Raw genomic sequence first — 25,567 nt, forward strand, 5'->3', positions numbered from 1 at the left:
TGTTTGTGTATATTGTGTCTCCATATAAATGCAAAGGCTGGCTGTGTCTCCCTCACCTATCTCTGAATATCTTAGCAAGGGTCTGGTATAAGGTAGGTGAGGATATGTTGATCTGATTAGATGTCAGACAGGGAAGAGGAAGCTCCATGACAACTGCCTACCTGTAAGCATGCCTTCATTCACCACGCAGCTTCCATCAATCAAAACAGCATCACATGGCAATGAAAATTTTCCTGGAAGAATAAGAATGTCTCCGGGAACCAAGAGACGGGATTCCAGCTCCTCCAAACCTACACCAAAGCAAAGTTTCCATGAATAGCTGACCTTTTCCTGTTTTTACTTAAGAATGAAGGCAACTAAGAATCCTTATCAACCTGTTGGCCAAGAGCTACCCTACCTGTTCAACTGTTGAAGCCCCTTTTTAGTCAATTGAAAATTCCGAAAGAATCAGGATTAGGAAATTGGTTCCTGGGACTCAGAAAAGGATTAGCTAAGCAACAGGATCCCATCTTGATCCTAGTACCTGGTGTGCTTTGCCCACAGCAGATACACAAGGGCACTGGGCAAAGCAGAAGTGCAGCTTCCTGCTGTTTGCTCTCGTCCGGGTTTCTGATTCCTGTGGTTGGTACACTTTGTCTTCTTGGATTGAGGCCTTACTTAAATTGCCCAAATAACTTCTGCTGTCCCAGGGTGCAGCTCCTCGCTCCTTGCAAAAAGCCACAGCCACTCCACCTCTGACTAGCTCAGAACAGATGCCAAGTGTCCAGACAGCTATCTAAAAGCCCCATTCAGGCCCAGGTTCCAGATGGCAGTTCAAATTGTGTGATGCAGGGTCTGTTTGGGATAGTTAGACTGGGAAATAAAGGAACCTTAAGAAGGTTTACCCAATGTTATTCGAATGAGTGACATGTGAAGGGGAGAGGGAATTTGAAGGAACCCAGACATTGGGTAAGAATGACGGAATGAGGGCTTGGGTGAGGGTAAGGCAAGCAAGCTGTCCAGTGTACAAAATTCAATGAGGCCCTTGTTCTCAGGGCCCTGCAGCTGTGGGGTCAGCACTGGCATGATCTTGCCTCTTTAAATTTTCTATCTTAGAGGGCTTCTTTGCCTCACCCTCGTCCCAGTTCTGGGTTCAATCTGAAAAGATTATTTCTCCTTGACTAATAATTAAGGACAAATGAGACCAATTCCCCCCTGAAATATTAAGATGCTGAAGATGGCCTAACACATCACTTACCTTTGTCTTTTACAATGATTGTAACCTGGACTTTGTTGTGGTCCTCCACGAGGTTATGCAGCTTAACTGATTGCTACCAAGTAAAAGTTAACATTTAAACATTAGATAGTTCATGTTCTGAAAACCACATGATCTCATTACAGTAAATACCAGGCCAGCTGTCACAGCTAAAGTGACTCTGGGCAAAGGACTCAACTTCTTTTGATGCTTCAGCTTCCTTGCTCCAACCCCTACCTCACCTGACCCCCTATGTGCAGCAGCAAATATGCTTATTAGTTTAATGCTATCTCACTCCCAAGAAAAAATAATGCACAGTCACTGCCTCAAGGACCTAAGCCAAGGAACCTGTTAAAAGAAACTTTAGACAAATTAAATTTAATGGGAGTTTAATTGAGGAAGAGAAAAAAAGTGATTCGCATATCAGGCAGCCACCAGAATCACAGCAGATTCAGAGAGACTCCAGGGATGCCTGATGGTCAGAATAAATTTATGGAACAAAGAAGGGAAATGACTACAGAACTCGGAAGTGAGGTACAGAAACAGCTGGATTGGTTACAGGTTGGTGTTTGCCTTATAGTAACAGTTTGAGCACTCAGCAGTGTATGAGTGGTGGAAGTATGGCTGCTGTATGAGTCGCTGAAGATTGGCCAAGACTCAGGTATTGTAACAGACGCATAAGTTAGGTTTTCAATCTTGTCTATTAAGTTAGGTTAAGGTTGGTCCACAAGGACTCAAATATAGAAGTACAGAGTCCTTCTCAGGCCATATTTAGTTCACTTTAACAAACCAAAGCTACATTTCTTGAAGATGCACAATCAGAATGAGGAAGAATGAGACTGTGAGCAGGTTACTTCCCTCTCTATGCCTCTGTCTCCTTGTCTGTAAAACAACAAAGCTAAATGTTCTCTGTAAGTGGCTTTCTGCTTGTAAGTGTCTGTGAATGTTTGGGTTGTGTTCTGATTGCATGTGGGACAGCCATCCTCTCCTTTATGAACTGTGGATTTTCATATTGGTTAAGTCTGCAGATGGGAGTTATGCTGTTAAGTCGTGAATCTTGTGCTACTGCTTATGAGTTATTTAGCCTGTTTAACTCCTTTTTGCTCATCAGAAAGGGGAGATTATAACAGAATACAATAGGGTTAAGTTTTAAGGTATTTTATTCTTATAGAGCCCTCTGTGTAGTACTCAATACTATGCTAAGAGCTCATGAGTGTTAGTGATTCATAAGAAAGTTGTTGGGAAAACAGTTGTGAGAGCACGTTAACTGGAAAGACTTGCTTGAGATCGTTTATTGAGTTAGGACTCTGTGAAAAGTGGAGAAAATGGAAGGAGCCTGGAGAAGTGGAGAAAGCATCTTATAGGATAACACAGGGGACAGAAAGGCAGAGGTGAGAGATGATTTCATCCATACAGTTCCCCAGACTGACTGTTGGGGCAACATCAGCGAGAGAAAGTTCCATGCTGGGCCAGCCCTGGAAGGTACTGCCTCTTCCTGTTTGGATGTCGGTGACTTGGATGCCTCTAACTGGAAGTGGGTTTGAATACTGTCAGCAATACTTAATTCACCTTAACCTAATTCAAATGTAAAACTTTTTTTCTTTTAGCTGTTAAATTGTTTTGATCTGTTCTGTTGGTGATATTTAATGTTACAAATGTCACCAGGCTAAGACAAGCATTACACATAATTAGGCAACTTTCCCCTTAAGAAAACATAATGAACCCAGCGTTAATATTTATATGGAAAAATTTATGATATACTTCAGTTTTGCATGGAAAGTTAAACTTTGGTAATTTGGATCAATTGAGTGGAAGAAGCGATAGTACTGTTTAGTGCATATTCATTGCTCTAAGGTGACTTCCTGAGGCTTAACTGTTGGGGCATGCATTTTAATGATGCGTAATAGTGGGAAAGTCAGCTGTGTTTCTGTGGGCAAAGAACCCTGGAGTCAGTCAGGATTTCTGAGTCGTAGGTCAGGCATACCCCCTAATCAGTCAGGTAATGTGAGTATGTAAGAAATTGCGCCTTAGAATTTAGTCGTTTTCTCTGTAAACAGACAACATTGAATTGGATCACTTTCAAGTTATACCTTCAAGCTCTAAAATGATATGACATTGATTTATTTTGCATGTCAGAGATGTATTTAAAACCTGCAAGGCATCATAGAAGAAATACACATGGTATATAAAATGGCTCAAATCTTTATTATTTATAAATAGTTTAAAACATGAAGCAGTTATTATGTGCCAGGCATTGTTGTAGGCACTTGAATAACAGTATTTAATTTTTTTAATTCTCAAAATAATTCTATGATGAAAATGTTATCTCCAACATACATGTAAAAACCAAATAAAAGGGGGTTGAAAAATGTTAAAGTAATCTTTTCACCATCATTTACTTACTAGGTAAATCAAACCTAGGTTCATCTGACTCTAAAACCTTTTCTGTTGAGGAATATGTTCTACTAGTGCTTAAAAATAGCATTTTTTTTCTTTAAGAAGATAAAAATCCTTCCTTAGATTTCTTTTTTTTTTGCTTAGAAACTCGTTTAGATAATGCCAAATTCAGCTTAGCATAAGAGGATGATAATCAACACATTTGGAAGTGGTGAAGTATGAGTTAATCATACTTGACTGTAATTCTCAAAACTCATTATGCTGTAGAGCTGGATTGGTTTATTAGACTTAGCATTCTGTGTAACCTGTCATGCTTCCAGGCCTCTGCTCAAGCTAGTCCCTAGGACGTCCACTCCGGTTTTCTACTAGCAAACTCTTTCTAATCCTTCTCATAAAGGCCTACTCAAATGTCACCTCCACTCTGCAAATCCCTACAATTCTCAGGAAGAATTCATTGTTCTGCTCTCTCCACCTGTGTGAGTGTACTGATCACATTCCATTATAGCTATCTGCTGTCTTGTCAGGCCTCCCTCGTGAGTCAGGCAGTAGAGAGAAGAAAGGCACCATGTACATTATGTATCTGTGGATTCCTCTAGAGCCTATCACATAGTAGGCCCTTGTCAAATATGTATTTATTAGAACCAAATTATTCTACTTCTCCCAACAACACTGGAGTGGGATAATGTTAGCCTCCTCTTTGAGTTAATGCGCTCAGAAAATCTGCAAACACGGGTTTCTATGGCAACCAACTAGCTAGGAGAAGGCAAACCCTGCAGTGCTTGCCATGACTGCAAAGCTCGTTGCCTGATTTTCATTAGGCCACCTTTAGTTTCTTCTGTCCCTGTTCAGCAGGACCAGGATCAGTTTCCAAGATGAATTTGCATATCGTTATTATTCAGCATCTGTTGCTACGTGCCCTTGTGTTTGTCGTGGCTGGATTTCCTCTAGAGATGAGTAATGAGGGTATTAACTCAGGTGCCTCTTGAGCTTGGCTCTGTCATGACTGAAGGCAAAGCACTGTGGGCCAGATACTCCCAATGCTATTTCTAGCAGCCACCCGTGGAGCTCAGCAATACAGTATGCACATACAGTTCAATGCAAATACAGTTGAGTACCAAGGTTTGCACTCATGCCTGCACCAAACTTGTTAGAAAGGGACGGAAGCGGGAGGGTTTCTTGGCTTAGGAAAGGTAAGCTTTCTTTGTGTAGCATGATTTGGGGCCCCAGTAGATGCAGAAAAACATCTTATTCTACTCCTGCAAACACTTACTCTCTTACAATTTTCCAAAGCCTGTGTTTGTTTACCTAAGTCTTTAATTCAGTGAAATAATGAACTTCAATGTAGCTCAACAGAATGATTTGGAGATAGCAGTAGATGCTCCTTCTTTCAGTCCTGCCAAAGCCCTTCCCCAAATCTTACTGCTGCAAGGAAATTCATGAGTCACTTTGAGATTGCGCTCAATGGGACAGTGTGTATGTAGTACTTGACTTGGAATCAGAAAACCTGGGGCTAAGGCCACTGTTACTGGGTGAGTGTGAGTAAGTCCCTTCACCTCCTGGATTGCCCCTGTCCCTCCCTCTCAGGTGGTTAGGAGGCTATAAAAATCATGTATGTTTTATTTCATAATTTGCCATGTCCCATACAAACACATACATTGTGAATGTGGGCGCCTATTGTAAACCGTAAAGTCCTAAACAGATGTTGATGAATGAGGACTTGTGATTTAAATTGCAAATACACAGTTTCAGGAAACTGGCTCATTTTGTGGAGTGTTACAAGGTGCTTTACAGGTTGGGTTAGGTACCCTTTTATTAGTAAATACTGGCTGCTAATGAGATTAGTGTTTGTCCTCTAATTCCTTTTCTGTTTTTTAAAGAAATCTTTTGCAATACTGCCACCAAGTCTAAAGTTCCCATATTAGCCACTGTTTTGAACAAAGGAATGTAGGGATTCTGTTAAGATATGGAACCTGAATGTTTAAATTCCAGTAAGGATTTTTAAATAGGCAAATTACAAGTATTAGAAAACAGGTATTACCTAACTTTGGAAGGGGAGTTCTTATAAGCAAAACAATAAACCATAAAGGAAAGCAGAAATATATTTGACTCAATATATAAATGTTCATCCACAGCTAAAGTCAAAGTCTAGAGAAATAGACTAAAAAGTAAAACTTTTTCACATATATGATGAATATAAAGAGGCCCTTAATATAAAATGAAAATGCAAAACACTATTAGACAACAAAAAGTGTCTAGTCTCACCAGCAATCAGGAAAATGTACCTTAAAACATCAATGAGACCCGGTTTTTTTAAAGATGTTAGATTTTAAAAATCGTAAATATCAATATAACTCCAGAAACTGATGAATCCAGGGGAAATAAACACTCTTGTGTGTTTCTGATTTAAAAAAATTCTTTCATTTGTGGAAAATAATATAGCAGCATCTATTAAAATTCAAAACATACATATGCCTTGATGCAGTAACCTGGCTTTTGGTTGCTATGCTAAAAAATGCAAACACTAATATGTAAGAACACGCCCATACTGTAGTAGTAACTTTTAATTCAACATTATTTGTGGTGGCAAAAGATTGAGGGGAAATTACTTTCAACAAGTAACGGAATAGTTGAATAAATTATGATATATCATGGAATATTATAGTATTATTTTAAAAACATGAATTATAATTATTTATTTACTTGGTGAATTGCCATTATATATAAAGTGAAAAATGAAAGTTCCAGATTAATGTGCATAGTAAGATCTTATTTTAATTTTAAAAATTAATAAAGACATAAATCTCCATATAAGCTGGTATATATATATGCACTTAATAGAGTAAAATGAATGAAAAATATGATGGCATTAATAAATAAATACATATATCTGGGACCTTCGTGTTTGAATTTATCCTTCAGTGGGTTCCCTTATAATAATCATTCTTAAGCTTTCAGAATGCATAACAATCATTAGTTATAAAACTTTTAAAAATGAAGATTCTAACCCTGGATATTTTGATTTAATAAGCCAGAAGCTCAAAAATGTCAAGGAATTCTCTTGCTGAAACACTGCCTTATTGAGTATAGAATCAAACCTAATTTTTTCCACAACCCATCCCCTAACTCCCACACAGGAATTTCTGTATTTCTTTGGGATTTCCGTAAAGATATACCCGAATATCAAATGAACACATAGACATTATAAAGGACTTCTAAGAGGGAGACTAAAATTTTTCAAAGACAATTAAATAGGAAACCTATAGAACAAATACAATATTTAAGTCAGGGAAAATAGATGGAAATGTTCTAAGGGGCATAATATCTTGATTAATGCACACAGTTGAGATGCTACCCCTTCATTCTCCTAAAACTATGGCTGGCATCATTAATCCATCACAGCATTCTTTCCCACCATACTCAAATAGAGCCTCAGAGTGCTTCTAAACAAAGCATTCGATGAAGGCTTCAGATGATAATCAGAGTTTGCAAAGACATTTAACTCTCCCTGGTAGTCCAAAGTCCTTCTGTCATCCCATATTTGGTAAGCCCTCACTTTTTGTTTTATGACTTATGGTTGACAAAGCAACTCCTGGCTCTCAGTGGAAATACCATGGGCTTTACTTCTTTAGCTAGAAGCTAAATAGAATCTGGCTGTGATTTCAGGTCTTACCTGTCGCAAATCATACACACTTAAGACAATGGAGATAACAGTCAAAATGATGATGGCCACAGAGTATTCTATGTAACCTTGAGACAGCCACAAAGTTAGGGTGAAGGCTTGGAACACATAGAATGGATTTAAAACCTGCAGGCACAAAAATGGCATTTGGGTCACTTGCATGAACCTTAGTAGCAATCAAGAAGATGTCATTTCATTATCAATTTTTTTCTCATTTTTTTACAACATACACAAACCTCTAATATTTAAGAATTCACTTAGATCTCTATTGATTTGGGTTGAGAAAATGTCAAACACATAGAATGTGATATGGTGGAAGCAAAATTATTTTATGCATTCAGAGCCATGCCCACAAGTTGATCATTCTTATTCATTTTGAATTTCAAAAATATTTTACCAATAACAAAATTTAACAATTCACCTTCTTAAACAGACTGACTCATAATGGGGGAGGTACATGATTCAGTCTCTTTTAAAAACGTACTTCCATTTGGAACAGTTTAATTGCAGTTTTATTTTTCATATAATCACATGCTGCAGATTTAGTCAAGTTGCGCAATGAAAATGAAAGATTCTACTTTTTTATTCAGGTCATTTAAAAATAGCATATCTTTCATGTCACAGGTCCTAGCAAGGTCACATAAGAGTCAGCCAAGTTCTTCTCTTGAACAAGGAGGAAGACTGGAGAGAAATGTCTTCCCCAAGGCTGCAGAGCAAATCATGAGCAGAAAGCAGAAGGTATTACCAACCTGAAAGCTGGTCACTCATACATGTACATTTCTGGTCGCATGAGAATACCTTCAACTTTTTTTGTTCCCTCAATTTTTCCCATTTGGGTCCTGCTAACTCATGCTAATAATGAGAGCAGAGAGGGCAAACCTGAGAAGCCAGAGAAAAGTCATAGGATATACATGCAGAAAGTGAACTAAAGAGCCCATCAGAGCAAAGCAAGGATTATTTTTCTGAGAAAGTGTTCTTTCTAATCATTATGAATTGGATGAAATATTGGTTAAAACCAGTGCTATTCTCTCTTACCTCTGTTTTCTATAATTCCCTTATGTACTAAATACAATTCTAATTTAGTCTTAAAAGTGAACTGACATGTGGTAAATAAGTTAGTACGTTGTATCTTAAGTGTTGGATATATTTTGTCCATTAAAAAAGATTTTGTTCCTTAATGTTTCTTATTATTTCAATCCCAACTGCTTTACTTGCAAATTATAGCTTTTTTGTTTGCTTATTATAAAATGCTCTGATTGTAGATTATGTGCAAATGATAATATGATCTTGAAGTTAAACAAATCCAGTAGAATACTGGTTAAATACTTTTTGCAGAAGAAACAACACTATTCTAATTAATTCAGTTCTCTTATTTAATATTCTTTTGAAACCAAATGTAGAGAAATAGTTGTACTTGGTTTTTTTTTTCTTTCTACTAAAGGGCTAGTAAATAGGTGCCAGAAAATACTAGCACTCCTTTCAAATTAGAACACATTGACCCCTGGAGAATATTTGGCAATTTGAAAACGTACTTGACGTTTAAAAAGCTGCCTACTTTTTGATAGTTAGGGAAGCTATGCATATGTGGAGGCAGGACGTATATGGGAAATCTTTGTATGTTCCACCCAATTTTGCTATGAACCGAAAACTAGTCTAAAAAATAAAGTTAAAAAAAGCAACCTGTTTTCTGCTTCAGACACAGAATAATGGTAAATAATTTTTTAATATTAAAAAGATATGTCCATGTTCCAAAACAAAATGACCATCTTTATGGGTTAGAAATAGACTGGAAACATGCACCATTGAGTGGGGGCTCACATCATCAGATTCATGGGTTCCAGACAAGGACTAGACAGCAAAATCTAGGAGCCCCTTTCTCGGAGGAATAGAGACAGAACGTGTCCCTTAGGTGGCTGAGGATAGAAATGAGGCATATGGTGGAAAACAAGGGTGGCCATGGGCTTCCTGTTCCAGAATAGAGGTTGAGCAAAGTCATAACCAATGAAGGCTTTCCACCCAAGGGTGGAATGGGAGAGGAGTGTCCATGGGACAACTGTGAACTGGGCTAAGCCTCAAGCTGGCTAAGGGCATGCATGTGACAAATCCCTGAAGGACAAGCACCCAAACCTTCAGGGACCACATAGGGGCCAACTGGAGGCAAACAAAGCCATCAAAGAAGCACAGAAAGCACAGAGAGAAAGAGAAAAATTGATGGGGAAAGTGTCCCACTTAAGGTAAGCATTAAAAAAAAAAATCCAAGCACACAAGGAAAATATTTTTAAAAACAAAAACAAAAATAAAACACTAACAAAGGGAGAAGTTACTCTCAAGAAAATGAAAATAATAAAGCCATTTGAAAAAGACCAAAAGAATACATTTCAAATCCTCAATAATTATAGAAATAATAACATTGCCCCATGCTGTGGACTGAACATTTGTGTCCCCTCTAAATTCATAGGTTGAAGCCCTAACCCCCAGTGTGATGGTATTTGGAGATGGGTCCCTTGGGAGGCAATTAGGTTTAGATGAGGTCATGAAGGTAGAGATCCCACGATGGGATTAGTGTCCTTGTAGGAAGAGGAAGAGACCAGACCTCTCTCTCCACCATGTGAAGACATAAAGAACACAGTAGTCTGCACGCCCAGAAATGGGTCCTCACCGGGAACTGAATATGCAAGCACCTTGATCTTGGACTTCCCAGCCTCTAAAACTGTGGGAAAATAAGTGTTTGTTGTTTAAGCCACCCAATGCATGACATTTTGTTATAGCAACCCAGTGGACTAACCACCCCACCACCACCACCACCACCAAAACCACCATCCAAACTAAAGAGAACAAAACAAAACAAACAGGAGATTATGAGGCAGGAATCTGTCTCACACTGGAAAGGAATTTTAAAGTAAACCTGAGTTTAAAATAAGCAGTAACAAAAAGAAGTCGCATGAAACAAGATATCATTCACATCAAAGTATTTATGTGTTCCTTCTAGGAAGTAAGAAGTAAGGGGCAGAAATCTATTTTTTCAAAAAAAAAAGAAAAGAAAACAGTTACCTGTTTAACAAGCAGCTTCCATATGGGTTGGATTTCAACCTCAATGGCGTTGGGCCCACACACTAATCTTCTGCGGGAAATTGATCATCCATTAGTGTCATAGCTACAAGCACATGATAAGTGACTACAGGCCAAACTAAACAGAAGTCATTTTTCTACTCTTTGGAGATTTTGTGACTTTGATTAAAAAATAATGTGCAAGTTCTTTTGAAACGTAATTCTAAACTACTATTTTTGAAATGAAAGTCAGTGTATGATGGACAGAGCTGTAGTCCTCGATACAAATATATCTTAAATGTAGTACAACTCAAAAAAAAAGTTGGAAAGACACTTTCATTTTGAGTTACTTTTAAAATAATTTTATTATATACTAAAAGCAACGAAAAAGACACAGCTATGCAGATGTTCCTAGACTTGTCAGGCATTCTAGATTGCCCTTGATGCTAGAAGTCATATCTATCTTACTTTGGTACCTCCAGCACCTAGGACAGGGCCCTTAGTATACGAACCGAATGAATACATATTAGTATATGAACTGAATGAACGAGCAAATGAACTGGAAGATATGGCCTTCATGGCTAACACTTGGTAAACGTGTATATTATACACAAGGTGTAATACATATGTGCATTACAACAAGAATGCATATTTCTATACTATTTTACCATTAACAAAGTTTTTACAAAGATTCATTTGATCCTCACAATAGTCCAAAGGAAAGGGCTAATACCTCTATTTTGCCAATGGAAGAAATTATTCAGTGCGGCATGTAGCCAAAATTGCACACATCTAGTATGAATCACAACAATGTAACTTTTTTTTTGAGATGGAGTTTCACTCTTGTTGCCCAGGCTGGAATGCAATGGCACGATCTCGGTTCACCGCAACCTCCGCCTCCCAGGTTCAAGCGATTCTCCTGCCTCTGCCTCCCGAGTAGCTGGGATTACAGGCATGCACCATCATGCCAGGCTAATTTTGTATTTTTAGTACAGACGGGGTTTCTCCATCTTGGTCAGGCTCGTCTCGAACCCCTGACCTCAGGTGATCCACCCGCCTCAGCCTCCCAAAGTGCTGAGATTACAAGCGTGAGCCAGCACGCCCGGCCTACAATGTAACTTTTAAACAGAGTTGACAGTGTCAGAAACTGCACTTAGCCTTTTTATATGCATTAACTCCTTCAATCATCACATTATTCCCATGAGATTTCATATTATTAGCACTTATTGTAATAGAAACTCAAGCTCCGATAAACCAAGAAACTTTTCCAGGATCGCAAAGCTAGAAAGAGGCAGGCTTTGTAGCATTGTCTATGACTCCACTTCACAAATCTGCCTCAGAAAGGACCAATGGGGAGAATCTGCATGAGAGATCTTTGGTCTCACTGAGGTATAACAGAGAGCTGAGCCCAAGTTTATCTGACTTCTTAGCCATATTTCTTTCCAAGTATAATTGTAGTTTGCAAAGAACAGAGAGGACTCAAACCGAGGTCTTCTGACTCCATGCCATGAAAACACTGAGGTTCAAGGATGTTGGGAATCAGAGAGGGCAAACAGCCCATCACGCTCTTTGACTTCTTAAGTCCCTAAACCTCCCGCTGGAAAGAGCCCATAACTCAAACCATTTCAGTACTCAGGACTCTTTTACACAATCTGGGGCAATAATCTGTTGTTAAGCAAAGTGTCAGAACTTAGGACCCCAAACTCGGTCCTCCATTCTCTCTCCCTCTCTCCGCTTTGAATGCCCTTCCCACATTCTTCAGTTTGTAAATGCCTACTCAGCCTCGGAGAGCCAGATCCGACAATCAAGCTTAATGGTTGAGAAATGTGGGAGCAGAGAGGCCTGGATTTGAACACAGCTAAGACCTTGTGCTTGCTGTTCCCTCCAACTGGAACTAATTTCCTCCACAACTTCGTATGTCTACCCGCTCAGTCCCTCAATGAAACAAGGGCGTTCCCTTTGTGAATGAATTTCATTCTTTCTCTGTTCAAGTAGCACCTCCTTACTGGGCTTTCCCTAACAATGCTCCTTGAAATAGCTACCCTGACTCTTAATTCAGATTCTCTTCATCTCCTTATCCTGCCATATTTTTCATTATAGTGCATATAATTACCTGAAAGTACACGTTATGTTTCACATTTTAATAAGTTTGCAAAAAAAAAAAAGACTGTATCTTCCACTATAATGTAAGCTTCCAGAGGACATCGATACATTCCGAATGCCTAAAACAGAGCCTATTATATGCTGAATGAACGAATTGATGGCTGAATGAGGGGTCAGCCTCACTCTTCTCATCTGTAAAAGGGGTTTTATAAAACATACCTAATAAAATTGCTATCAAGCTGGGTGTGTGGCACACACCTGTAGTCCCAGCTACTTGGGAGGCTGAGGCAGGAGGACTGCTTGACCTCAGGAGTTTGAGACCAGCCTGGGCAACAAAGGGAGACTCTAATTTAAAAAAAAAATGCTACCAGTAGCATATGAGAAAAATACATAAAGCATTTAGTTCTCAATAAATGGCAGCTATCTTTGAAGTCTTACTCCCTCTGGCACAATTAACTCTATTTTTCTCCCTTCCAACAACCTTTCTTTTCTTAGCAACAGCACTTACATCATTAAAGTATAATGTATACTTAAATGTCTTTTCCCTCTAGTTTCCTAGAGTCCCTTTAAAGGCAGAAACAGATTTTTTTTTCTTTTTCTTTTTTGAGACGGAGTGTCTTGCTCTGTCGCCCAGGCTGGAGTGCATTGGCACAGTCTAGGCTCACTTCAACTTCCGCCTCCCAGTTTCAAGCGATTCTCCTGCCTCAGCCTCCTGAGTAGCTGGGATTACAGGCCCACACTACCACACCTGGCTAATTTTTGTATTTTTAGTAGACACGGGGTTTCACCATGTTGGCCAGGCTGGTCTCAAACCCCTGACCTCGTGATCCACCTGACTCGGCTTCCCAAAATGCTGGGATTACAGGCATGAGCCACCATGCCCAGCCCAGAAACAGAGATTTTTAAATCCTGTCTAAAAATCTAGCACTAGGGGCGCAGTGTCTGACCTAGAGGATATTCCCTAAATAGTAGAATGAATTAATGAGGTTCAAGGCAGTACATGGGGTATGGAAAGCAGTTTAGAAAGCAAGCCTAGAGTCTCATGCTCTTTGGCTCTCCAAGTTTGGCAATATTACCATTAAGAGAGAAGAGATCCCATGAGGACGGGGATCCAGTTGATCAATATTTGCCTGTAGATCATCCTCTTTACGGTTCATCTGAACTGTATTGAAATCACAGCCTGGCATGCCCCTTGCTGCTGTGTCTCTTCTACTGCTTCTTGCCAAAAAATATTGTGTGTTTAGAGATCATGTACCCATCTCAGTTTCAGCACAAGCCAAGCAGAATATTCAGGGGTGTTGACTAATGGCTGAGCAATGGGAAGAAATATAAGATTTGAAGCTGGTTCACATGAGGAAAGGTCTAAGAAACAAGGGAGCTGACATTCTGACCAGCTGGCAGGGAAAACAGGCCCCAGATTGTTCCAGCAGCTTCACAGAACAACGTAGGCTAAATAAAATTAAGCAGACCTGCCTAATAGTTCCAACTATGCATTAGAAGAAGAGTTGCTTTGGAGGTAGATGGTCCCTCTCCAGAAGTTGAACAATTTCTCAGCAGGAAACCTGTGGAGGGGATTTCTGCAGGGACCATGGGCTAAACTTGGGGAATCATTGAGGTTTCCTCCAACCCTGAGATATCAGTAAATCTGTTAGAATTTATTTATTTCTGAGAAAACAAAATGCAGATGACTAGGAGGACTTTCTCTTGGAGGAGGTCCATGTCCCTTTTCATTTGTTATTCATTCATTCATTCATTCAATTAACTTACCAATAATTGTTAATAATGTGTCGTGTGGTAGCCATTTTAGGCTCCAGGTGGTAAAGACTGAAGGAGTCCTCAAGGAGGAAGGAAGGGCATGTTAGAATTATGGTGGAGTTTTTCAAACTACACCTATTTTTTGCTCACTGCTTCCATTCTGATAAGTTTCCAACAGAGTCTCTGGCAGGCAGGGACGTCTATAGTTTTCCATACATACAATGTCAAGCCAGGAGATTCTGGCATAACCCACTTCCAGGAACTTAGGAATTTTTAGGAAGCAGACATGTAGAGGTTGAGAAAGTTCCCATGTGATTCTGTTAGCAAGTTCCTGACTTCCCTAACACTCTTGTTTTATAAAGGGAGGAAGACCTAAGATATTCACAGATGCACAGGACATGGCATCCAACTTCTGGGATTTGGATGTGGTTGTATAGCACAACAAGAGTGCTGGCCTTCGAGCCCTTCCATTAAAAACAATAATAAAAACAAGATTGGTATATTTTGAGAAATTGCTTTATGGAAGGAAAACATCTCTATTTCATTACAGCTTGAACCTGCTTGTGTACTTTAATGAAACACTTACACAGAGAATGTATCTCCATTCTACAAATGACATGAAAGTTATTTTAGTTTTTTACATTTGTCCTCATGTGTGACCTGCCCATTTCTTTCATTGCCTAAATTGCATGTTTTCAGATAGCCTCAGGAAAACTCGAGAAGTTGGGCTCTTAGAGGACTTCAAGCCCTCCATGTGAGCTAAGTGAGGCGCTTCCAGTCAGCTTTTCTGGGGAAAGGCCTTGAGCATTCCCAGGCATAGGGATGCAGAAGGGAATGGACCAGGAGGACATCAGGAATGGAGATGGGGTACAAAGAAACCGAGTGCAGGATCCTGCCAGGGAGATTCTGGACTTAGCTTTCCTGGTCCCTCTGTAGGGCTTTGCTCTAAATAAGGCAGTAGAGTTAAGTGGTTTTATACTTTAAATGGGCCAAGATCCATAGAACCGTGGATCTGATAATTCCACTTTATTAAAAAAGAAAATGATCTCAGTTCATTTAATTTTTATTAAATAGCTTATGCATTAAATTTTAAAGAAAGGATATATATATATATGTTACATTTTTAAGTAACTTGTTAACTTCTAATTGAATTCTAATAGTTGAGACTACGTTATTGGCTTCCAGAAGAATGAGCAAAGCCCCTTTCCTCTCCTCCAACCAGCCCTTCCTTGATCCTTCTGTAAATGCTGATCTGATGGCTGAGTATCTACTACAGGGCTCTTTTCTAGAGGTGGTTTCAAAGGGGATAGAGGTCACGGTATATAAGCATGGTTTCTAAATTTTCCTTTCCCCAAGACTGAGGAGTAAGAGAGTAGGGTCTCACAGCAGCCTCTCTCTGTCCTTCTCTCTCTCTCTCTCACCTTCTTTTTGCTTCTTCTTTCTCTCTTTTCTGATGTTCTGTGTTCTCATGGAACAGTTTCTGTCAGCTTGGAGCTATGCATTAATGGCAAACCTACCTTCTCTTGCTGTCTGTCACTCGGATTCCTTTCCTCTGGTGCTGACAAGCATGCCTTTTCTCTCAATGCTGTGGTAAACATTGAGAATTAAATTTGGCCTTGCAGAATCACTAAATCAACGGGGAGCCTCTCTTCCCAGCTTTGCATTCAGTGATGTCACCTTGGTGGCTTAAGTTGGCCATGGATGGAATATTCCTACCATAGAAACCAGCAAACCCTGTCTATCAAAGCTTTTTTTCTTCCTGAGAGCTAGGTCACCAGCAAGGTGATTGGTCTGGACTTAACCTCAAGTGTGTGTGTGTGCATGTGTGTGTGTGTGTGGTGGTGGTGGTGGTGGTGCAGGGGGGCTGGGAGAGGGTCCTTCCATTTCTGCTGCCAGGAAGTCATTTACTCCTTTTATTTTCTGCAGCCTAAACAAAAGGGACAGAAGCAGGGTGGGTGGGCTGAGTGAAAAATAAGGTGAAGAGATGCTCAACTGATAAATAATCTTAATAGGAAGACTACTTGACTAGTTGAGGAATCAGGTAGGTTTTTTATTTTTATTTTTCCCTTATGGGCTCACTTTTGTGATATAAAAGAATTACCTTGAATGTCTTTTGACCTGCCTAGGACAGGCACTAATATGGAAGTTTGAGTTCAGTTCATGACGGGTGAAGCTAAGGAACATGGAACTCCTGGGACAATTTACTTGCTCTCTTTCTGATCCCTTCTCACAATTTCTCTCCGGGGTAAAGTTATTTCTCCTGATGTTTGGATATGCTTTCGCTACTGAAAAGTGAGAACTATGTAAATCTGCATTTTCTCTCTCTACCCAGCTGCTAGGGAGCCCATAGAAAAAGTTTGCATGTAAACTCTATAGCTTTTCATCATCAGAGATTCTTGTGTATCCCCGTTCATTTCTCATCTTATGCACTTGCTTTTTAATGAAAGCAAGCTCAAATTCACTAGGAAATTGGTAAGATATTACTCAACCATCCATCACACTTAGTTTTTTAAAGGCCTTGGTCTTACCCTAAAAAATGAAATGAAAAAATCTTCCATATTCTACTTATTCTCTTTTCACTCCCCAAATAACATAAATATGACCATGTTTATAAGTAGATTATCTGCTCCATTCTTCATATTTGGAAAATGATACTCTTTGTCTTGCTTATTAGATTGTCAAGTTCTATATTGTGTGGATCAGATTTTTTTTTGTGACGGAGTCTCACTCTGTTGCCCAGGCTAAAGTACAGTGGCATGATCTCAGCTCTCTGCAACCTCCGCCTCCCGGGTCCAAGCAATTCTCCTGCCTCAGCCTCCTGAGTAGCTGGGACTACAGGTACAGGCCACCACGCCTGGCTAACTTTTGTATTTTTAGTAAAGACGGAGTTTCACCATGTTGGCCAGGCTGGTCTTGAACTCTTGACCTCAGGTGAACCACCCGCCTTGGCCTCCCAAAGTGCTGGGATTACAGGTGTGAGCCACTGCGCCCAGTCATGGATCAGATTTAAATTTGATTATGTACAATGTTTACTGAAGTTTGGTGCTTGATAAATAAGAAAAAAACATGAGGTAGCTGCACTGACAGGAAATCTTTCCTGTGGAAGTGGTTACCTAGGCAGAGTGTGTCTACATCTATCAACTAGAATTCTTAAATGTCCTAGATAAATCCTTTACATGCCTTGTATTTAGTGCTATTAAACCAATATATTTTAATAACTCTAAAAACTTTTTTGTGACAATGTTTTGAGCATTACATCTGAAATCTTACATAATAATACCATTTCTAAGGCATTTTGCAATATTGTCCTAGTCCAGATGTCTGGTTCATTTTTCACAGTGTCTGATAGAGGAAAAACTTATAAACAACAGATCAGTAACTCTTAGACTTGGTGTGTGTGAGAATTATGGGGGTTGCTTGCTAAAAATGGGTATCTTCTAAGTACCCCTTGCTCCTACAGAATTATCAGAATTATGAGGGTGGAGCTTAAAACCTATATTTTAAAGTATCTGATTACTTCTTAGCTTGAGAATAGGTGTTTCTGGCCGACTGTAAAGGTTAAGCAGACACTCTCTCTAAAAATGGGTGAGAAATAAAGGTGATTATAAGATTCTGGGGAAGACTTGTAATGATTTCCTTTCAGATTTGCCAGGGTTCATCATTTCAAATAATAGCTGAAGAAAGCAGGGACTCTGTATCTCTGTGAGTTAATAATAGCATAAGCATTTCCTAATTTATGTGCATCTATAGGTACCAATCTCATGATTGTGCCACCATTTATGCCTCTCTTTCTGACTAGTCCGTGTCTCTGGGACAATGACTAAACCTTTGTCTTTAGATCCTTAGTTCCTTGCAAAGTACCTATTTGTTATTTAACAAATCAATGAATATATTAACTTACTCATTTACTCTAGAATTATGTATTGAGCTCCTACCAAAGAATCAGGCACTGTTCTAGGTACTGCAGATATAGTGGTGAATAACACAACTAACCGAGCAAGCAAAATCCTCATCTCCAGGGCTGTTTCTTCAGAATAAAATGCAATCAAAGTATTGTCATTCTGTCTCTCCCAGGATTTGGAAGATTACTAAGCTGACATTTAGGGAATGACTCAAGATTTTTTTAAGAAAGGAAAAATAAAAAAACAACACAAAGATGATTGCTCTACAAGCCTGAGATAAAAGATCAAATTTTATATGATTGCATTGTTCTTTTGGTCTTTGTAAAAATAAGTTTGCCTAAGAAAAGAACAATTTAGGATATCTCCGCTGCCAGTAAATGAACTTGGACTATAACAAGCTGATGAAGCATTATGCCAACAATGCACTGATGATAACTGATTTGATACTTCATTTTCTGCTGGCAGAGTTTACTCTTAAGGCATATAATAAGTCCTACCTGACCTCTTGCTCTTCACTGGTCAGACCCAATCCAAATGTCTGATGGATGTCAGAGCAGGAATTGCTGTCTTCTAGCAACCTAGGATGTATTCAGGATAGGAACCACACTTCAGTTCATAGCACTCAACAAATCAGTGTTTTTCCCCTATATCCTGACCAAGGGGTGACAAAACATTGTACTTACCCAACTTTCTGAAACCGCTTCTCCAGGTCGTTCCAAACATACCTGATTTTCTGCACTTCCATGCACCGCAGCTACGATTGCAAATGTGATAGAGCAGGTGTCATTCACAGCATAAAGCTCACTGGGAGAGGGAGTGGTGTCCAATGCAGGATGCAGATCCCCTTGTGGGTCTCACTTGCTTTCCTTCTTTCTTTCTTTCTTTCTTTCTTTCTTTCTTTCTTTCTTTCTTTCTTTCTTTCTTTCTTTCAGACAGGGTCTCACTCTGTCACCCAGGCTGGAGTGCAGTGGCGTGATGACCACTCACTGTAGCCTTGACCTCCCAGGTTCAATCGATCCTCCTGCCTCAACCTCCTGAGTAGCTGGGACTACAGGCAAGCACCACCACACTCAGCTCATTTTTTGTTTTTATTTTTTTAATAGAGATGAGGTTTTGCCATGTTTCCCAGGCTGGTCTCAAACTCCTGGGCTCAAGGGATCCGCCCACATTGGCCTCCCAAAAGTGCCGGGATTACAGACGTGAACGACCATGCCCAGCCAGTCTCACTTTCTTTGATACATAGCTGTCATTCCCATTCCAAAAGTGTGATATTCGGAACTTTCATTTAATAAACAGTTATTTTATGCTTTCTCTGTAAACATGCATAACACCATACCCTTCAAGTAACTTACTTTTAATTCTGGCTTTATTAAGGCTTGGTTTATGACAGAGTGGCGGTCAGCCACCAGGGATTCTTCCCACTTCTTGCTTACAGGAAACTTCAGTGTGGATAAGTAGAGGCAGAATACCTTCTTCCTCATATATCTTTGAAATTCGTCCTGGAAAAGACAATCCAGTTCATGAAATTCTCAAGTGTTATTCAGTAAGGTGCTCAATCAACCAAATACCTACCAAGTGGTACAAAACTTTGACCCAAACAAGCGCATCAGCTTTATCTCAGAACTTAGTAGAAATGCAAATTCTCAGCCCCACTTCAGACCTACTGAATTAAAAACTCTGGGTGGGGCCAGCATCCTTGTTTCAATGAGCCCTCCAGATGATTCTGATATGCACTGAAATTTGATAACCACTGTGCTAGAAAATAAAAAGAAAGATAATACTTTTCAGGAAAGCTTTCTATCCAGAAAATAGTTTCTAGCTATATTAAAGTGACATCTAGGTGCTTAAAATGTGTAATATCCTCCAAAATACATATTTTTGAAAAACTGAATGACCATTCCCATGTTATGGTCTCTAAACGCTGTAACACTGACAGCCACTGCTCATGTAATGGCTAAGAGCACTCCCTGTTAACCTGATGGGGTCGAAATTTCCCCAAGCTGAAGCAGAAGAAATGCTCTTCCTTCCTGGGTCAAAATGAGAGATAGCAAATGGATTGCAGAGGTAATTTTGCCGTATTTTCTCCTGTTTTGATCTATGGAAACTCTTTAAATAGAGGAAATCTACCTTCTGAAATATAATACCAGCCACAGAGTTATGCCACAGAGGCAATACAGAAGACACGATCATGGCTTTCAAAATAGAAAACAGAAAGGCACGCACTGTTGTCCTCAGCAAAACAGTGTCTGCTTCTTGCAAGGGGCATGGGATGCAGTTGGCCCACACTCTCCACTGGGGTCTCCAGTAGAACACCAGCAGAAGGCCCCCACAGGTCAGCACGGATGCGACAAGGCAGAAGGCTTTCCGTACATTGTGGTCCCGGTAACCAAACACCTCCTGGAGAATAAATTTAAAAGATCGCTCTATTTTTCTTTTCTTCACATAAACATATTATTTTCTTTCAATAAACCAAACTTGAGATGAAAGAATGTTGGCTGGGAGACAAATCTGGTTATAGGTGGTTAAATCAAGTTGACTGCTTGCAGCTGTCCACTGATCAAATCAAAAAAGAAGGACTTATTTTACTACCCTGGTATATGGAACTAAAACATTAAACAGAAAGAGTATGGAAAGGGCAGATTTATTTGCTTCTATATATTCATAAGAGTCACCTCAGATTTTTATAAAATACTTCATGTTTTGAGGCAGATTTATTTTCTTTAGGCATTAGTTATTTTAAACATTGTTATGTTTAAAATACCTAATATTTTAAAATTCCTACAATATGAATTTATTGTAGGAAGATGATAAAATCATGACAGATGTGATCTACACTCATACATCTAGCTTTATCCATTCAGCTTTGTCTTATAATAACATGATTGAGGACGACGGAAAGTATGAATAAATGTACTATTTTCTAAAACAGTATGTTGATGTAAATTAAGGAATTACTCGTGGATATGAAAGACTTTCAAAAAGCAGCTTATATTTATTTACCCTGATAGTAATATGCTAAAATATTTGGACTCTCACTAGTAGGTTAGTCAATATTTGTCATAAACTGAATAAAGATTTGAGATTTGATTCTAGAAGGAAAAATTGCCAAACAATAGATTTGCTTATTGAAGGCCAATTCCTAGTTCCCAACTTGTACAGTGATGTTTCATAGCATTGTTTTTTAAATTTGAAAAGCTAAATTTTCAGTGCATTTTGAAGCCCCTGAGGGATGCTGATTATGAATAATATCTCTACTATACTATTATTTTAGGTTCTGCTATTGTTGTTTTTGTGCTTTTTAAAAATATGACTGAACTCTGAATTTTCAGGTCCAGATCACAGGACTATCATGTTTAGAAACTTAGTTTTTACTAAGTGTCTAGAGCACTTTTGATGCGGGAACATCCTGCATTTTATGCCAGTTTAGATCATGCTATAAAACATCTCTTGGCTTAAGATTTTTTCCATTGACCCTCAACACTATCATCCACCTGAGAAAAAAGTTCATTAAGTTCAATGAGGCAGCCACTCTATTTTGAGATTATTCAAATAAGGTTTAAGTTAGAAATATGCATTCACCCTGCTTTTAAGCATGTTTTCTATTGGTTCTCCTCTTTCTCTTTCTGTTCCCTCTGATTCTATAAACCTGCTTTAGTTTTATTTGTGAATTATAGTTTTATTAGGACCAAGTAAAATGTATATGCCACTTTATATATTATGTCATAAATATACATTCTTTTACCGAGTTATTTACAGAAGCTTACTGCCAAAGTCAAAATGTGTGCAAAAATAGAAGCAGGACAATTTGGAATTTTAGTCTAGCTTGTACATGAAATGAGCTCATTCATAAATAACTTTCTCTTTTTCTGTTTATTTGTATACAGTAATGGCAATGAAAATCATAATTCTGGTACCCCTTCAGTTCTCTTCTATACAATGTTTTTAAATTAAAAAACAAACTCACAATGCTAGTAAGACTGCAATGAAAGCACTACAGCTATATAGTGCTAATAGCCTTGTGAACTGGAATAATTTTTTAGGAAAAGTAAGGTGGCAAATTGTATCAAGAATTGTAAAGATATTTCTACTCTTTGAATCAGTAATTCTTCATTTGAAAATATGCCCTAATGAAATAATATCTAAATGAGAAAGTTTTGCATATACAACGTTCAGTGCAGCATTATCTGTAATAGCAAAAACACTGGAAAAACCAAATGATAGCTAATGGTTCAGTAAGTTGTGAATGGAGCATACTGTGATGTAGAAACCTGGAGCATACTGTGATACAATGTTAAATGGAGAAAAGAACAAAGAACAAGTAGAATAAATGGGAAACAAGAAGCAACATTATGAAATTTAACCCAACTATATTAGTAATTGCATTAAATGCATGTGGCCTTAATGCTATGATTAAAAGCAAAGATTATTAGACTAGATAATAAAAGACCTATCGTATACTATTTACAAGAGACACACTTTAAACATAAAGAAGTGGATAGGTTAAAAAGGAAAAGAAGGGGAAAGTATACTGGGCAAACAGTGGAAGAAAGCTGATATCGCTGTATTACTATCACACAAATTATATTTCTTTAAGGATAGTTAAGGAAAAAATACTATGAGAGCAAAGGAAGGATATTTCATAAGCTAAAAGATCAATTCAACAGGAGGACATAACAATCCCAAATTTTTGCACATCTAAAAAACATAGTTTTAAAAATTATAAAGAAAAATTGATAGAATTTAAATCTACTCTCATCATTGGAGATTTTAGCACATCCCCCCTCTCAATAACCAGCAGAATAAGCAGACAAAACACTCAGTAGGAATGCAGGAAGTCTGAACACCTCCACTAGCTACATTGATCTAATTGACAAATACAGAAAATTACAGCCAACAACTGCAGAATTCAAATAGTTTTCAAGTACACATAGAATACTTACCTAAACTGAGCACATTCTGAGACATAAAGTATGATGACATTACAATTAAACTAGAAATTAAAAACAGAATAACTTAAAAATTCCCAAATATTTGGAAAGTAAACAACATATTTTGAAATAACACAGGTAAGTCAAATAAAAAATTACAATAAATATTAGGAAATCATTCGAACTGAATGAAAATGAAAATTGAGAAATAAACATTCATGGAATGCAATGAAGATAATCCTTACATAGACATTTACAGCTTTAGCTGCAAATCTTAGTAAAGAGAAAAAGTTTTGAAATCAATAAACTAAGCTTCCAATTCAAGAAGTTATAGAAACAAAAGCAAATTAAACCCCAAAAAAGTAAGGAAAAGATTATAAAGATGAGTGCAGAAATAAGACAGAAAGTAGAAATACAACACAATAGAGAGAAACAGCAAAGTCAAATTGGTACCCTGAAAAGATTAATAACATTGATAAACTCATCAATAAATACGAATATTTTGTGTTTATTACAGAAAATTAATATGCAATTTAAAAGCTCCCTGCAAAGAAATCGTCAAGCCCAGAGAACTTGTGATTCCTTTGAAATATTTAAGATAGAAATGATACTATTCTTTTACAAACCTCTTTATAAGTAGAAGAGATGAAAATTCTCCCAATTTGTTTTATGAAGCCAGCATACTCAGACACCAAACTCTGATAAATATGTTGCAAGCAAGGAAAATTGCAGGCTAAGCCCTGTCATGAACATAGATAAAATAATTCTAAAATAGATTATCTAACTAAATCAATGATATATTAAAAGTTTAGTACATCACTACCAAATAATGTTTGTCCTAGAAATGCAAGGATTTAAAAATCAGTCAATGTACTTTGCCATTCCATGCACTTCAATATTCAGAAGGAAACTCAGAAGGCCATCTCAATAGATAGAGAAAAAGACTTATACAATTCTACACCAATACATGATTTAAAAAATTCTCAACAAGTTAAAAATAGATGAGAACATCTTTAAGCAACATCATGTGTAATGATGAAATAGTGAATATTTTCCCACTTAAGTTACAACCAAAATGAGATTGTCAACAATCACTACTAATATTTATCAGTACAGTACTAGAAGTCTTAACCAGTGCAACGCAAGAAATAGAGAAAGAAAGAGGGAAGGGAAGGAAAGGGAAGGGGAGGGGAGGGGAGGGGAAGGGAGGGGAATAACAATTGAAAACAAGAACTAAACTCTATGTGTAGATAATGTGGAAAAATATCCAAAAGAATATACAAAGTATAAGAGTTAATAAGTGAATTTATTCAGATTGCTGGATACCAGGTCAATATAGGAAAACCAATTGTGTTTGTATATATTAGTAACAAACAATTTGAAAATTAATTAAATACCATTTATAATACCTTCAAAGAAAGAAATTGATTACCTTGTAATAATTCTAACAAAGTTGTACAAGACATCTAAACTGAAAAGTACATATCATCGCCAAGAGAAAGTAAAGACCTAAATAAACGAAGAGCTGTATTAAGTTTGGGGATTAGCCATTAGTAATCCAATTTAAAATCTCTTCAGACTTGTGTGTGTGTGTGTGTGTGTGTGTGTGTGGTAATTGACAACTTGGTTCTAAAATTGGAATGGAAATGCAAAGGATGTAGGATAGTCAAGACAATTTTTGAAACGAATAAATGTGGAAGAATTATGCCACCAGAAGTGAAGGCTTACCACAAAGCCACAGTAATTAAGAAAATGAGGTATACACACAAGTATAAACAAACAGAGCAACAAAACAAAGTCCAAAAAGAGACTCAAACATATGATTTCTTCACTTGCAAGAAAGGAGCCACTGCAATCTGTGTGGGAAAGGGTGATTTGCTCAACAAACAGTGCCAGAGCAAAACGAATAGCACTGGAAAATAAATGAGTACAATCCCCCCACCGCCCCACCCCACTGGTTTGTACCATATACAAAAATTCATTTGAGATGGCACAAATATGTAAATGTGACAACTGAAACAATAAATCATCTGAAAGAAACCATAGGATGAATTATTCTATGAACCTCAAGTAGGCAAATGTTTCTTAAACAGAAAATAAAAAGAAAGACAAAACAAATGTACTTGACTTTGTTAAAATTAAAAGCTTCTGGCTGGGCACAGTGTCTCACACCTGTAATCCCAGTGCTTTGGGAAGCTGAGGCTGGAGGATTGCTTGAGGCCAGGAGTTCAAGACCAGCCTGAGCAACATAGAAATACGCTGTCTCTACAATTTTTTTTTTAATTAGCCAGCAATGGTGGTGCACACCTGTTGTCCCAGTTCCTCAGGAGGCAGAGGTGGGAGGATCGCTTGAGCCCAGGAGTTCAGGGCTTTAGTGAGCCATAATTGCACCACTTCCACTCAGGCAACAGTGAGACCCTGTCTCTACTGTCTCTAAGTTTTTTAAAAATATATAGAAATGAATTTTAAAAGTAAAGAAAATTAAAAGTTTCAGTTGATTAAAAGGTCTCTGAAGAGGCCA

General features: G+C 38.1%; 1 protein-coding gene across 3 annotated transcripts in view, besides 1 other annotated feature; it reads right to left on the reverse strand.

Moving 5' to 3' along the window:
* Positions 1-25,567, reverse strand: part of ATP13A5 (ATPase 13A5) — a 103,965-nt gene that overhangs the window by 68,977 nt on the left and 9,421 nt on the right. For 2 of the 3 annotated variants that reach the window (NM_198505.4, XM_011512770.3), the window contains exons 2-9: positions 20,342-20,515; positions 19,471-19,617; positions 18,802-18,872; positions 18,616-18,696; positions 10,362-10,431; positions 7,302-7,436; positions 1,238-1,310; positions 162-290 (exon numbers count right to left, since the gene is read on the reverse strand). In NM_198505.4, coding sequence (NP_940907.2) covers positions 162-290; positions 1,238-1,310; positions 7,302-7,436; positions 10,362-10,431; positions 18,616-18,696; positions 18,802-18,872; positions 19,471-19,617; positions 20,342-20,515 — 880 coding nt within the window. Of the gene's footprint in view, positions 1-161; positions 291-1,237; positions 1,311-7,301; positions 7,437-10,361; positions 10,432-18,615; positions 18,697-18,801; positions 18,873-19,470; positions 19,618-20,341; positions 20,516-25,567 lie in introns of those variants that run through there. The other variant, XM_047448075.1, reaches the window with a different exon arrangement.
* Positions 4,152-4,830: an enhancer, noted in NCBI's record as "H3K4me1 hESC enhancer chr3:193065706-193066384 (GRCh37/hg19 assembly coordinates)". NCBI's record gives its function as "activates a minimal SCP1, AML or CMV promoter by ChIP-STARR-seq in primed H9 embryonic stem cells {active_cell/tissue: H9 hESC(primed)}" and the evidence as "EXISTENCE:reporter gene assay evidence [ECO:0000049][PMID:30033119]".

This window comes from Homo sapiens, chromosome 3 (genome assembly GCF_000001405.40).
Source record: "Homo sapiens chromosome 3, GRCh38.p14 Primary Assembly".
In the NCBI taxonomy this organism is placed as follows: domain Eukaryota; kingdom Metazoa; phylum Chordata; class Mammalia; order Primates; family Hominidae; genus Homo; species Homo sapiens.